Source organism: Homo sapiens, chromosome 3 (assembly GCF_000001405.40).
Source record: "Homo sapiens chromosome 3, GRCh38.p14 Primary Assembly".
Lineage (NCBI taxonomy): Eukaryota > Metazoa > Chordata > Mammalia > Primates > Hominidae > Homo > Homo sapiens.
The window spans coordinates 146,455,551-146,467,650 of NC_000003.12; the positions used below are offsets into that span (position 1 = coordinate 146,455,551).

Here is a 12,100-nt window from a genome sequence, read left to right on the forward strand (position 1 = left end):
AAGTATCATAGAAAGAACAAAAAGGAATGGTATTTAGAGTTGATCAGGCAGAGGAAAAAGGCAAAGGAAAAAGAGGAAGTTAGGCTATTAATGCATGGAGAAATTGATTCCTTATGTGAGATATGGAAAACAAAGCAGGTCATATTTTCCTAATCCCATAGGCTCCTGTGAGAAGAGAGACTTTGCTGCTGAGGGTTGGGGCAATGCTGCCAGTAAGCACAGTGGTGCTAGGTGTATGGATAAAATGTCCATTTATTTGGTATAGTTTTCATATATTATGGAGAGGAATATAGGATGATTGCAAAAAATACTATATTAAATCAATTGGTTTAAGATTTCCTTTTGTAAGTCATACTTATGTCTTCTTTGTTTGCACTGTTTGGTGAAAGGCAGTAAGAGGGCTAACTCTCAAGGCACGTGCATAAAAAGTGAGAGGCAAAAATGGAAGGAAATTAGAAGATCACATCGGACTCAGGGCACCCTTATTTAGCTCAGCAGTAATTTGAAAGTAAGAGATGAATATTAAACAAATGGGGAAGGTGCTTGGCAATCAGGGCTTCAACTCAGAATATCTAGACCACGAGCATCCTAAGTGAGCTCTGCACCTTAGATAGGCTAACCTCTTCATGAGGAAAACAGAGGAATGCAAAATGCTGATGCTCACATGGTATCTTACCAAGGACTTCCATATTGAACCACACATTGGAAACCTCTCCTTGTTTAAAGCCATGAAGGAGCAATGAATTGTCCCACTATCCACAGAAGGACATCATACAGAAATGTTTCTCACAAGTCCTATTACCATAAACTTCCTTAAGAGTCTACGGTGGGACTCAAACAAGGCCTGGACTCTGCCTATATAGGAACTGCACTTGACCTCAACATCTGCTGTAGACAAAAGTTTGTGAAAAAATTTAAAATCGAATATAAAAAAATTGATTCCTCTGTGGTCATCTATTATCCAACTAATTGTTTAATTATGTAACTTACTTGCGAAAATCTTAAGCTGTTTATCTATAAAATGACATCAATGGGGTTACAAAATCTTGAAGTTTCCTTCAAGTTACTTGAAAAATGGAGACAAAACAAAAGATTGCAACAATTATATTTTTAGCATCTATTAACTTTTCAGTCGTGGTAAGGTATAAGTATTTGTCATAGTCTCAGGTGCTAAAAATAAACTGAGTAATCATCTTTTTATATGCCTCGATGTTAGCAAACAATATAGACTTTCAATTTGAGAAAAAAAGAAAAGAAAATTAAAAATGTCTTTTTTAAAAAATTAAAAACTGGTAAATGTGGAACTTCGTATTTTTCAATGAAGCACATATATTGTGCAAATATATGTAAAGCTTATAAATCTAAAAAATATAAATATAATGTTGTATAATGTATAGTGTCTGGCCTTTTGGATTTTATAATCTTAATTATATATTCCATAAAATAAAACATTTTAAATAATTCAGAATACAAATTATTACAGAACAAAGTGCTCCTTTCCAGAGCAAACTTAATTTAGCCAAACTACAAAAAACCGAGAACATTATAAATATCTAATCACGTACTTTAAAAGCAGTTTAAATGTAATAGGTAACAATTGTATATGTTAATGAAATTCATTACTCTGCTTGTACAATTCAAGTTATAATTTCAACGAGTTAAAGAAACTGCAGTATGCAAAAATGAATTTATTATAACAGATATATTCTAAAAACCAGCAGTTTTTATAATAAATAGAAGAAGTAACTTTATTATATCAGAAGGAAGACGCTGTGGTTCATAACTCTACCTAGGCTCTCATTCCCCTGGCAGCTGTTCTGAAGCATCTAGAGGCTTACTAAATTTATTCTTGCACCTAGGAAGCACTGGACCTAAGAACATAACTGGTGGCATCAGGAACATTCAGCAGGAGCAGGAGTGCTCTTCTAAGAAGCCAGGCTGGAGGCCTGCTGGTCAGCATCCTCCAACACTGCAGTGCCCCTGCACCCTGGCTAGTAATCTACAGCACGTGGAACAAAGATTCTACTGGGTTCATCCAAACTCCCAAGAGAAACTGTGGGAAGGAACAGCAATTTTCCAAAACACTCCCATCCAAATTCAAAAAGTTTACTCACTTGGAAATGTACTAAGGTAACTAAAATATTGGATGTGGCTCTGTGCCATTCTAAAGGTGATCACAAATTGGAGAGAAAAGAGCTGAAGTGGTAGAAGTCAGGTAAAGTGAGTGAATCCCTTAATGTTATTTGCAAAAGAGAGCAAAAGTAAGTCTTGGCTGTATTCCTTCTACATTAGAGTTTATAACATTAGGACAGATGCTTATCATAATAGTGCAGTCATCCCACAGTATTTGTAGGAGATTGGTTCTAGGACTTCCTGTGAATACCAAAATCCTAGGCTACTCAAGTCCCTGATATAAAATGGCGTGGTGTTTGTATAGAACTTATGAACCTCCTCCCGTATTATTTAAATCATCTCTAGATTACTTATAATACACAAACACAAGGTAAATGCTATGTAAAGAGTTGTTACATTGTACTGCTTAGGAAATAGTGACAAGGAAAAAGAAGTCTGCAAATGCTCGGTACAGGTACAATTTCTAAAAATATGTTTTTGATCCATGGTTGATTTAATTCACACAGGTAGAACCCACGGATAGGAAGGGCCAACTGTATTTTACCATTTCACTTCTGATGTTCAGAAATAGACTACTGATTTCATTATTGTAAAGACAGACATTCGTAAATAGTCAGTTTTACCATCCCACATCACTCGGAATGCTATATTTATAGTTTTTGATGTATCTTTATTTGCATAAACTTCTTCTCTTTTTAGAACTATGAGCAATACAATTAATACATACCTTCCAGAAGTTCAATTTGCTGATGAATTAGTATCATATCTATCTATTATAGTAAAAAGAAAATGAAGTTGTATGTCAAATATTTTATAGAGAACTAATTACTATTCATGTTTTTATTTAATACTGCATATAATCAGTTATCGACATTTATCAATATCAAATTTTAATAAGTTTGCTACCTTTTATTGTAAAACTAAAGTTAACATATTTTTAATTAAAAATGCTGTATGTTTATTGAAAGCATTCACTATTATAGTTGTAAATTTAGGTAAAATAAACTAATATAGTGGAATCCCTATAAAAGTTAGAAAACAATGTTCTTCCTAAATGAGGCTTAAACATATAAAGACATTTTTTATTGATTTAAATAAGCTTTTACTGTAAGTCTCAGTTATTCATTTTACATCTACTTCATATAATCATTTTGTAGTAAGTGATAATTTCTTCTATATATTTTTGAGACTGATTAAAAAAACTGTAGGGCATTTCTTGGAGAAATATGAACTACTAAACATTCTTATAATATTCACTGTGCAAGTGCATTGTGGAAAATTAAGTTATTATAAAGAGTACAAGAGAGATAATTCATTTACTGAAAACTCATTGACTATCATAGAAATATTTGTTTATAGATTGGAGATATAAAACTTTATATTCCTATTTTACCAATCTGATCTCTAAGACAAAACAAACATTAAACCTCACTTTGCTGAGGTAAACTATCATGTAGTACAGCAAAATCCAGGACATTTTTTTTCCTTATTGGCGACATTTGTAAAATTGGGTCTTCCAAAGGAAAAAAGCATCATAAAAATGTAATTTTACTAATTGTAAGAAAAAATGAGTCAAATCCCACACAAAAATATTAAGTCATTTTTGGTACTGCTTACTAAAACTCAACTCTAAACTTTACATGTCTTTTAAGTGTCAAGAAAATTATTCAGTATTGGAATTAAAAAGCGCAGAATCCAGAATCAGGGTGGTGATGAACAGTGTACCCCCAGTTCATTAGGTTTTTAATCCTTGGTAATTTATATAACTGCTCTGGACCTCAGTTTCCTCTTGTGTAGAGTAGTGATGATTACAACGCTTATACATCATAGGGATTCTGTAAAGATTAAGTGAGGTAATACATGTATTATGCTTAGAACAAAACCTAGAAAATAGTGCCTAATAAATGTTTACTTTGGACTATTATCACATTATATAAAAGATCATAGAAAACAATCACCTGTGACATTCATATTTTGATTTAACAATGAATCGAACCCAAAAGAACTAGTGATTTGTTAACAGAATGTGCTGTTTACCATTTCTGACTTTAATTAATTAATAAGCAGTAAATAAATAAGTATCACTTAACCATAATTACTATGGTTCATAAACCAGAAAGAGAGTTTTTTTTTTTTTCTGAGTATTTTACGTATTTGAAATTACCTGACTTAAGTATTCCAATCCTGGCGGACAGTTTAATGGTGGTGGTGGTGCTGGCATCCATGGTACCCCTTCAGGTCTACCTGGCTGATTTTGAACAGGAATGCCAGCTGTGCCAGCAGGTGGGACTAGGTAGTCATGCTGACGTCCTGGGTAGAAGGCCTGGGAGCCCAGGTGGTCAGCCTGTTTCCCAGTGTGTCCAGCCTGGTGCTTAGGGTAGACAATATGTCCGGGAGGTCCTGAAATAGGAGCAAGTAAAATAATTTGTAGCTGCCCAGAAAAGTCATCAATCCTTTTTAGAATAACCCCAGTTATCTACAAACTGACCTCTCAGCTCAGAAGTCCTATATCTGTGAAGCTTGAGGTATGTTTTTATCTTCAGATATGTTTTAATGAAATATCTGTGGTTTCACATTCACTTCTATTTTGAGGGTGGTTCACTGTGAATAGAGTCGGCCTAGAGCTTTACTTTTACTATGTAAAACTCAGATAGAAAATATGCTTTTATACCTGTGAAAGTGAAAGTAAACCCACCATGATCTAAAGTGATCTATATGAAGATTGTGGCATGCCTTCATGGAAAAGAGAGATGAAATTGGAAAAAAAAAAAAAAAAGCCAAAAATAATGGCTATGTGTCAGCATTCCCAGAGCCAAAGGCACCCTGTGAAAAATTTTAATTGTGGAATTATAACAAATGACATATCCTATATGTATAGAAGTCAATGGGGAGATGGGGTTGACCCCTGAAGGGGTATCTGTCAAGGTTTGGATCCATTTTTAGTTGTCGCAACTGGAGGAGAGACTGATATTGTCAGCTGGTTGATAGAAGCCAGGGATGCCGCTAAACATCCTAAAATGCCCAGAACATCCTCCTGAAAACAAATAATTATCCACCCCAAAATACTACAGTGTTGAGAAACCCTAATATAGATGTAAAATCATGTCGTCCCTCCTAGTACTTTTCAGATGCTTGTCTGGGCCAATGGGTTACGAGGAGTTTTAATCTACAGCGTGTTCCTCTCCTGTTTCCCTTGATATTGTTCTTAAAACATCAATTATGATATTGCGGTTACAAAATTAAATTTCACAATTTGTCACTCTTAGATCTTTAGAACACATAATTTGAGAAAATTAAACAAAACAAAAGTAAAAAAATCAACAGAGTTTGAGGAAGAAAAGCAAAATATTTAACAGATGAAAAATTCTAAAGTAGCAGAATAGAGGAAGAAATTTAATAAGTATAATCTTTATATTACATGTAAATGTACATTGCAATGATGCTTCATAAGCTTATTTGTATAGTCCGCAGTGTAGTGATTCCATAGGAATGAAAAATAATTTCAAGGGACTATGTTCCTCAATATTTTAAATAAATACTTAATGCCACATAAAATATAATACTTAGAATAGGCAATACATTTAAGTGGAACACTGGTGACAGGCTCATATACTAATAAAAAATAAGGGTTAGCAAACAATTTAACCTAGTACTAATGCACTGTAAATATAGCTTTTATAATTTATTCCTCCTACGATTAATGAATATAGATGACTCGTGATTGGCTCTGTTGTGGAATCAGGGGATACAGCTATCAAAAAGTCAATATGCTGTCAATGAGCTTACAGTTAACTTCTGGAAGAAATAAAATAATTTTTTATAAAAGACTTCATATTGGTATGATGGGGAAAACATGGGAGAAAGGACAGAGGATAAGTAAGTTACTTTAGATGGATATAATTTATGTTGAAATCGAAAAGATGAGAAGGGGAAAATTTTACGTGACGATCTACCGAGAAATGCTATAGGAGGAAGGAAAAGCAAATGTAAAAACGCTGACTCTGTAAGGAATTTAGCATGTTCGTGAGAGAGGAGAGTCATAAGAAAGGAGGAGTATGCATGGTTGTCACCAAAGCAATAGGAAGAAGTTCATCTAGGGAGACCCTTAGTAAGGAGTTTGGATTTTATCCCAGGTGTCATTGATAATTACTGGAGGAATTTAAGCAGAAGAGTGAGTTCCATGATCTCATATATATCTTGCGAAGTTTTCAGGAGTGCCCAGTACTGGAATTTACAAGGGAAAACACAGCTACAAATAATATCCTTTCATAAGCTAAAAAAAAAAATGACAAAGAACAAGTCAACAACACATTTAGTATTATAGGGAGGAAATTAAACACTTAGTAAATTACTTACTTTTATTGTTCATGGATTGAAATAGTTCTGAAAGAGACCTGATATTAATATGCTGTCTATACATTTGTAGGTCCAATACAACTGTTGGAACAAGATATTCTAAAACAATACAGTCACATTCATGGGATATTTCTCTTTATTCATCTAGTAGAGCCTTATCTGGCCATTTAAATCCTTTGGGCTTGACCTCATTCCCCTTCCTGTTTTCACAGTAGAATTGATTATTATTTTCTATGGAGACAAGGTCTCATTATGTTGCCCAGGCTGGTCTCAAACTCCTGGACTCAAGCGATCCTCCTGTCTCGCCCTCCCAAAGTCTTGGGATTACAGGCATAAACCGCTGCATGTGGCCTTGGTAGGAATTTAGAAATTGTTGGTCAGCCCACGACGATGAACACTTTCTTTTTTCTTTTTCTTTTCTTTTCTTTCTTTTTTTTTTTTTGGAGATGGAGTCTCCCTCTGTCACCAAGCTGGAGTGTAGTGTGGCATGATCTTGGCTCCCTGCAACCTCTGCCTCCTGCGTTCAAGCGATTCTCGTGCCTCAGCCTCCCGAGTAGCTGGGATTACAGGCACACGCCACCATACCCAGCTAATTTTTGTATTTTTTAGTAGAGACGGGGTTTCACCATGTTGGCCAGGCTGGTCTTGAACTCCTGACCTCGTGATCTGCCCACTGCGGCCTCCCAAAGTGCTGGGATTATAGTCGTGAGTCACTGCGCTCGGCCGATGGTGAACACTTTCCAAAAGCCTTTAGGAAGAAGGTCTAATCAGGAGGAAAGCCATGAAGAAATGCTGCGAGCTAAGACCCCAAAGGGTAATTGAGCTAAAACTTCAGCCTTCACAACCTGCACAATCTAAATGAAGTGTGTGGTTTATTTCCAAGCCTCTGGGCTTGGGCTCCAGGAATGGTTCAGCTAAAGAGCAAGAAAGGTTAATTATCAGATCACACCACTGCAATTATCTCGGAAAATTTCAGGTCCTGTGGCCCTGTCATGCCAATCCTGACCAGCAAATTTGAGAAGTTCTGACACTACTCTGTTCATTAAGAGATGTATTTATTTATTTATTTTTTACCAGAGAACCCACTCTCAGGAGCTGTCACAGCCATAGCATCCTGACCACCAAGTGAAACTTTGTACTTGGTATTTCTTTTTTTTCTTTTTTGAGACGGAGTCTCGCTCTGTCGGAGTGCAGTGGCGAGATCTGGGCTCACTGCAAGCTCCGCCTCCCAGATTCACGCCATTCTCCTGTCTCGGACTCCGGAGTAGCTGGGACTACAGGCACCCGCCACCACGCCCGGAATAATTTTTTTTGTCCATGTTAGCCAGGATGTTCTTGATCTCCTGACCTCGTGATCTGCCCGCGTCGGCCTCCCAAAGTGCTGGGATTACAGGCGTGAGCCACCGCGCCCTGCCTATACTTGGTATTTCTACAGAAACATAAATGACAGCAAATATTCTACTCAGTAATTCTGCCTTCTGATGCCTTGACCCCATCCTAGTCTTTCCCACTGCTATCCAGTCACTGTTTTCTCCATCTACTGTAGATCCCAGTGCTTTTCATGACTGTTAATTACAATGAACACATCGGGCAAAAACTCCATTACCCAAAATTTTTATCTTGGACCCATGCACGCTAATACAAACTGCCCTCCCACTTCTCAGGCCCACTCCAGTGTTGGCTTCCCTTTTACCAACTCCTCCTACTGTGCAATCCTAAGTGGTAAATAAGTCAACTGATCCCTCCACATCCTCAACTAAAATCTAGAATTCTCAAGAAGAAACCACCTCCTTACCTGCCATTTCAAAATTATTTTTTATGATTACCAACTTTAAGCACACATTTTCATAATATAGTGAAACTCTTAAGAATTCTCCAATTATAGTCACCTCTTAGTTACATCTACTCAAGAAGTTCAGCAAAGGTTGAATAATTCCAAGTGGGTTTATTTGGCCCTGAAATAAATCAAAAGATGTATTTGTGTTACTGATTTAACTTCCCGGATTTTCTTAGAACAATCGGAATCCAGTTTGCATTAACTGGTCAGAAATCAATGCTGTGGACCTCATCAAGTCAGAAGAGTAGAAATATTAAAACTTACATTTTTCTGCAGTTAATCTATAAGGTGAACAATAAGCTAGTAAACATGTGTAACTAGGGTAGACTAACTAGGGTAACTAGACTAACTAGGGTAGACCACTAGCTTTCCTGGTCTCCAGTTTACAGACTTCTAATGTGGTGGGACTTTTCAGCATACAAAATTGCATGAGCCAATTTCTTATAATACATCTCTTCATATATATATGTCTACATCCTACTGCTCTGTTTCTTTAGAGAATTCTGACTAATATGATGAGTCTATTCCAAGAAATAACATGACTCAGTTTAGGACATGATTGGGCTGTGTCCTGACTAAATTAGCTAGTTAATCTAACATGATAACTTTAAATCATTGCTTCCACCACTCTTACTAAAAAGTAAATTCTAGAAATAACTTCAGAGAAAGAGAAAATCATATTTTTATGCTGTACTAAAACAAAGCAAAAGTTTGTAATAAAGTCATATTATATATTATACCATTTGAATTATAGTTACTCCAAAACAAACACAGAACTTCAAGTTACAATCTGATTACTACACACTTCTTTCTAACTCTCTGTTAAGTGATAAATTTGGAGTAAATTGAGGCAGCATATACTATATACACATTAGTACATCTCTTTTAAAGTAATTATATCAGAAATCATGTCTTCATTGCTGCTCTGGACTATTTGATAATTATAAACTTCTGCACTCAGGGAGAGGGAGAAATAGCACAGAGGATTTCCAGTTCTGACTTCATAATTTATATTACAGTTGTTAAATATTAACAGCTGTATAGGAGGACATCCATTTGGTTTGACCTCCTGCACTAGGCTTCAACAGATCAAATCAAAATGGAGTAACTAATGCTAAAGTTCCACATTACCAAACTGAAACTAAGTTGTTTATTTAACCTTCCAAGAAATCAGGAGAGAAATGAAAGCCCAGACTCCAAACAGGCCAGTTTTAGCCTGCATAATAAAGAAGTTCCCACTACTTTAGTCCTTATAAAGAGAGTAACCTGAACTAATCTACCGTTAACTAATCCACTTTTTGTATTATGCTATTTCCTCATTCCTGCTCAAGGTACCTTATAAAAACTGACTATTCTGCAATGCCGCATGTAGCATCTCTCTATTTTTAGATAAGATGCTGTCATATTCATGAATTCCTAATATAAGCTAATTACATCTTTAAATTTGTTGTAATTTATCTTTTGACACAGCTAAAGCCTTTTGACCTATTTCTTAAGGTCCTGAAAATTTTTTGTTTTACTGCTTTCAAACATAACTAAAGTAAAACCTGGAACTCACAGGGAAATCATACTTAATTCTGGAAGATCCTAAAATTACTATGCCTTTAACATAGACAATTAACAAATAAATTCAGATTAATAACCTAAACCTAGTTATGCCTAAGAACAACTCTCTCCCGCCACACTCACCCTCCACAAAAAAAAAAAAAAAATCACAATATAAAACAGTTCATATTCTTCTCAAGCCCCAAGCAGAGACATAGGTTCTGAATTATTTTAGCAAAATTCTACCATTCTGAAAACAATCACAAGAATTCTAGGTGCCTAACTTCCTACCAATAAGTAAGAATGAGACATTATGCTATGCCAGAGGGGAACTGTGAATAGCCCAGGGAGAAGGCAACATTTATTGAGGTAACTCACAAATTAAATAGCTTTCACATCATTCAGTTACATGATATGTAAATTTTATGCACTTAAAAGATTTGGTTACCATCTAAGAAGACAAACATTTCATCCCTTGAATTGTGGTTTCAGTCAAAGTAAAGCAGAGCAAGCACAGATGCATTTTTACACATGTGTGGGGCAAGAAGATGGTGAGCCTTTGAGTACAAAGCACACCATATCTGTGAGGTATGAGATTGAAGTAGGGTGACTGAGGCCAGTTATTAATGCAAAGCACCTTGTAACCGGGAGTTTTACTATAAAAATCCACTTCAGCATCTAGGCTCAAGAAAACAAAACACATATGCTTAGAACCAATGTAAGATAGGCTTTTACAGTTTTGTTTGTTTGTTTGTCTTTTGGTTTTATTGAGACAGAGTCTTGCTCTGTTGCCCAGGCTGGAGGCCAGTGGCACGATCTCAGCTCTGCAACCTCTGCCTCCTAGGTTCAAGCAATTCTCGTGCCTCAGCCACCAGCATAGCTGAGATTACAGGCATATGCCCCCACACCTGGGTAATTTTTGTATTCTTAGTAGAAACGGGATTTTCCCATGTTGGCCAGGCTGGTGTCAAACTCCTAGTCTCGTTATCTGCCCACCTCAGCCTCCCAAAGCGCTGGGATTACAGGTGTGGACCACCACACCTGGCCTATAGAATTGTATATTAAACCTTGAATTAAAATGTAGATAATATATCAACTAGACCCAACTGAAATTGTAGTAGTAAAGTGTTCTACAAAACTAACAAGTAAACCAAGGAGACAAAAGCAACAAAAATGAGTCTTAAAGTCAGTTATTCTCATTTGATTGCTTTATTACTGCTCAAAAACCTTTTCTAACAACCCAGACCTCCCTCACAAATGGGAGTTTTCCTTTCTTCTTCATAAATGAGAAAACTAAGCCCATAAAGATAAAGTGTTTACTTAATGCTGTACAGCTCAGTAACTAGCTGAATTGAAATTATTCATGATTCATGTCCATTGCATTCATGTTCCTATTTCATTGAATAAAAAACAAACAAAAAACCCCACATTCTCCCAATGTGCCAAATTTCAGTGAAAGTTGTTAGAGGTTATCTTTAAGGTATCTTTCTTACGTAAGATAGAAATATCTTGAATTTCAATTTAGTCTCATGATCAATTAGTTTTTAACTAGGATAGGCAAAACTTTTTTAAAAGCAGTTTTTAACAACAAATTTTGGGAAATGAAAAGCACAGTTGTTACTACTGATTAACTAAAGTGCTTTGGCTTTTAAATTTAGCACTGTTCAAGGCAGTGCTATAGAGTGTGTGTACAGGTACACATATGTGTACATACATATATCCACATATATGTACACATGTATAAATGTATAAGTACATAAATACTCACTTAACATAAAGCTTATTTTGTTTTTCAAGGAATATTGATCAACTAGACCCAACTGAAATTGTAGTAGTAAAGTGTTCTACAAAACTAACAAGTAAACCAAGGAGACAAAAGAAACAAAAATGAGTCTTAAAGTCAGTTATTCTCATTTGATTGCTTTATCACTGCTCAAAAACTTTTCCCAACAACCCAGACCTCCCTTGAATATTAATCTAGTTGAATAATATATTTACATGATATGTAAATTTTATGCACTTAAAAGATTTGGTTACCATCTAATTACTACCATTTGATTAATATTCAAGGAATCTTAACCAAAGGCATAGAGCATGAAAGGCACTGTACAGGCACTAAAAAATGGAGGAGTCAGGCAGTTAATAAAATTAAATATATTCCAGCACATTATATTAATTAAATTTATTATAAATATATTATGGATAACACATATATAACAATACAAATGT

The 12,100-nt window shown here is 35.5% G+C and overlaps 1 protein-coding gene across 32 annotated transcripts in view; it reads right to left on the reverse strand.

The window, feature by feature from the left end:
* Positions 1 to 12,100, reverse strand: part of PLSCR2 (phospholipid scramblase 2) — a 104,572-nt gene that overhangs the window by 64,131 nt on the left and 28,341 nt on the right. For 19 of the 32 annotated variants that reach the window (XR_002959563.2, XR_002959564.2, XR_002959561.2 and 16 more), the window contains exons 2-3: positions 4,298 to 4,533; positions 2,861 to 2,903 (exon numbers count right to left, since the gene is read on the reverse strand). Coding sequence is in view for 21 of the 32 variants with exons in the window: in XM_017006903.3 (XP_016862392.2) it covers positions 2,861 to 2,903; positions 4,298 to 4,533 (279 nt within the window). In the remaining 11 variants the exon portion in view is untranslated. Of the gene's footprint in view, positions 1 to 2,860; positions 2,904 to 3,910; positions 3,969 to 4,297; positions 4,534 to 4,621; positions 4,735 to 6,283; positions 6,407 to 6,489; positions 6,940 to 8,284; positions 8,445 to 12,100 lie in introns of those variants that run through there. The other 13 variants (XM_024453672.2, XM_024453673.2, XM_024453671.2 and 10 more) reach the window with 7 other exon arrangements.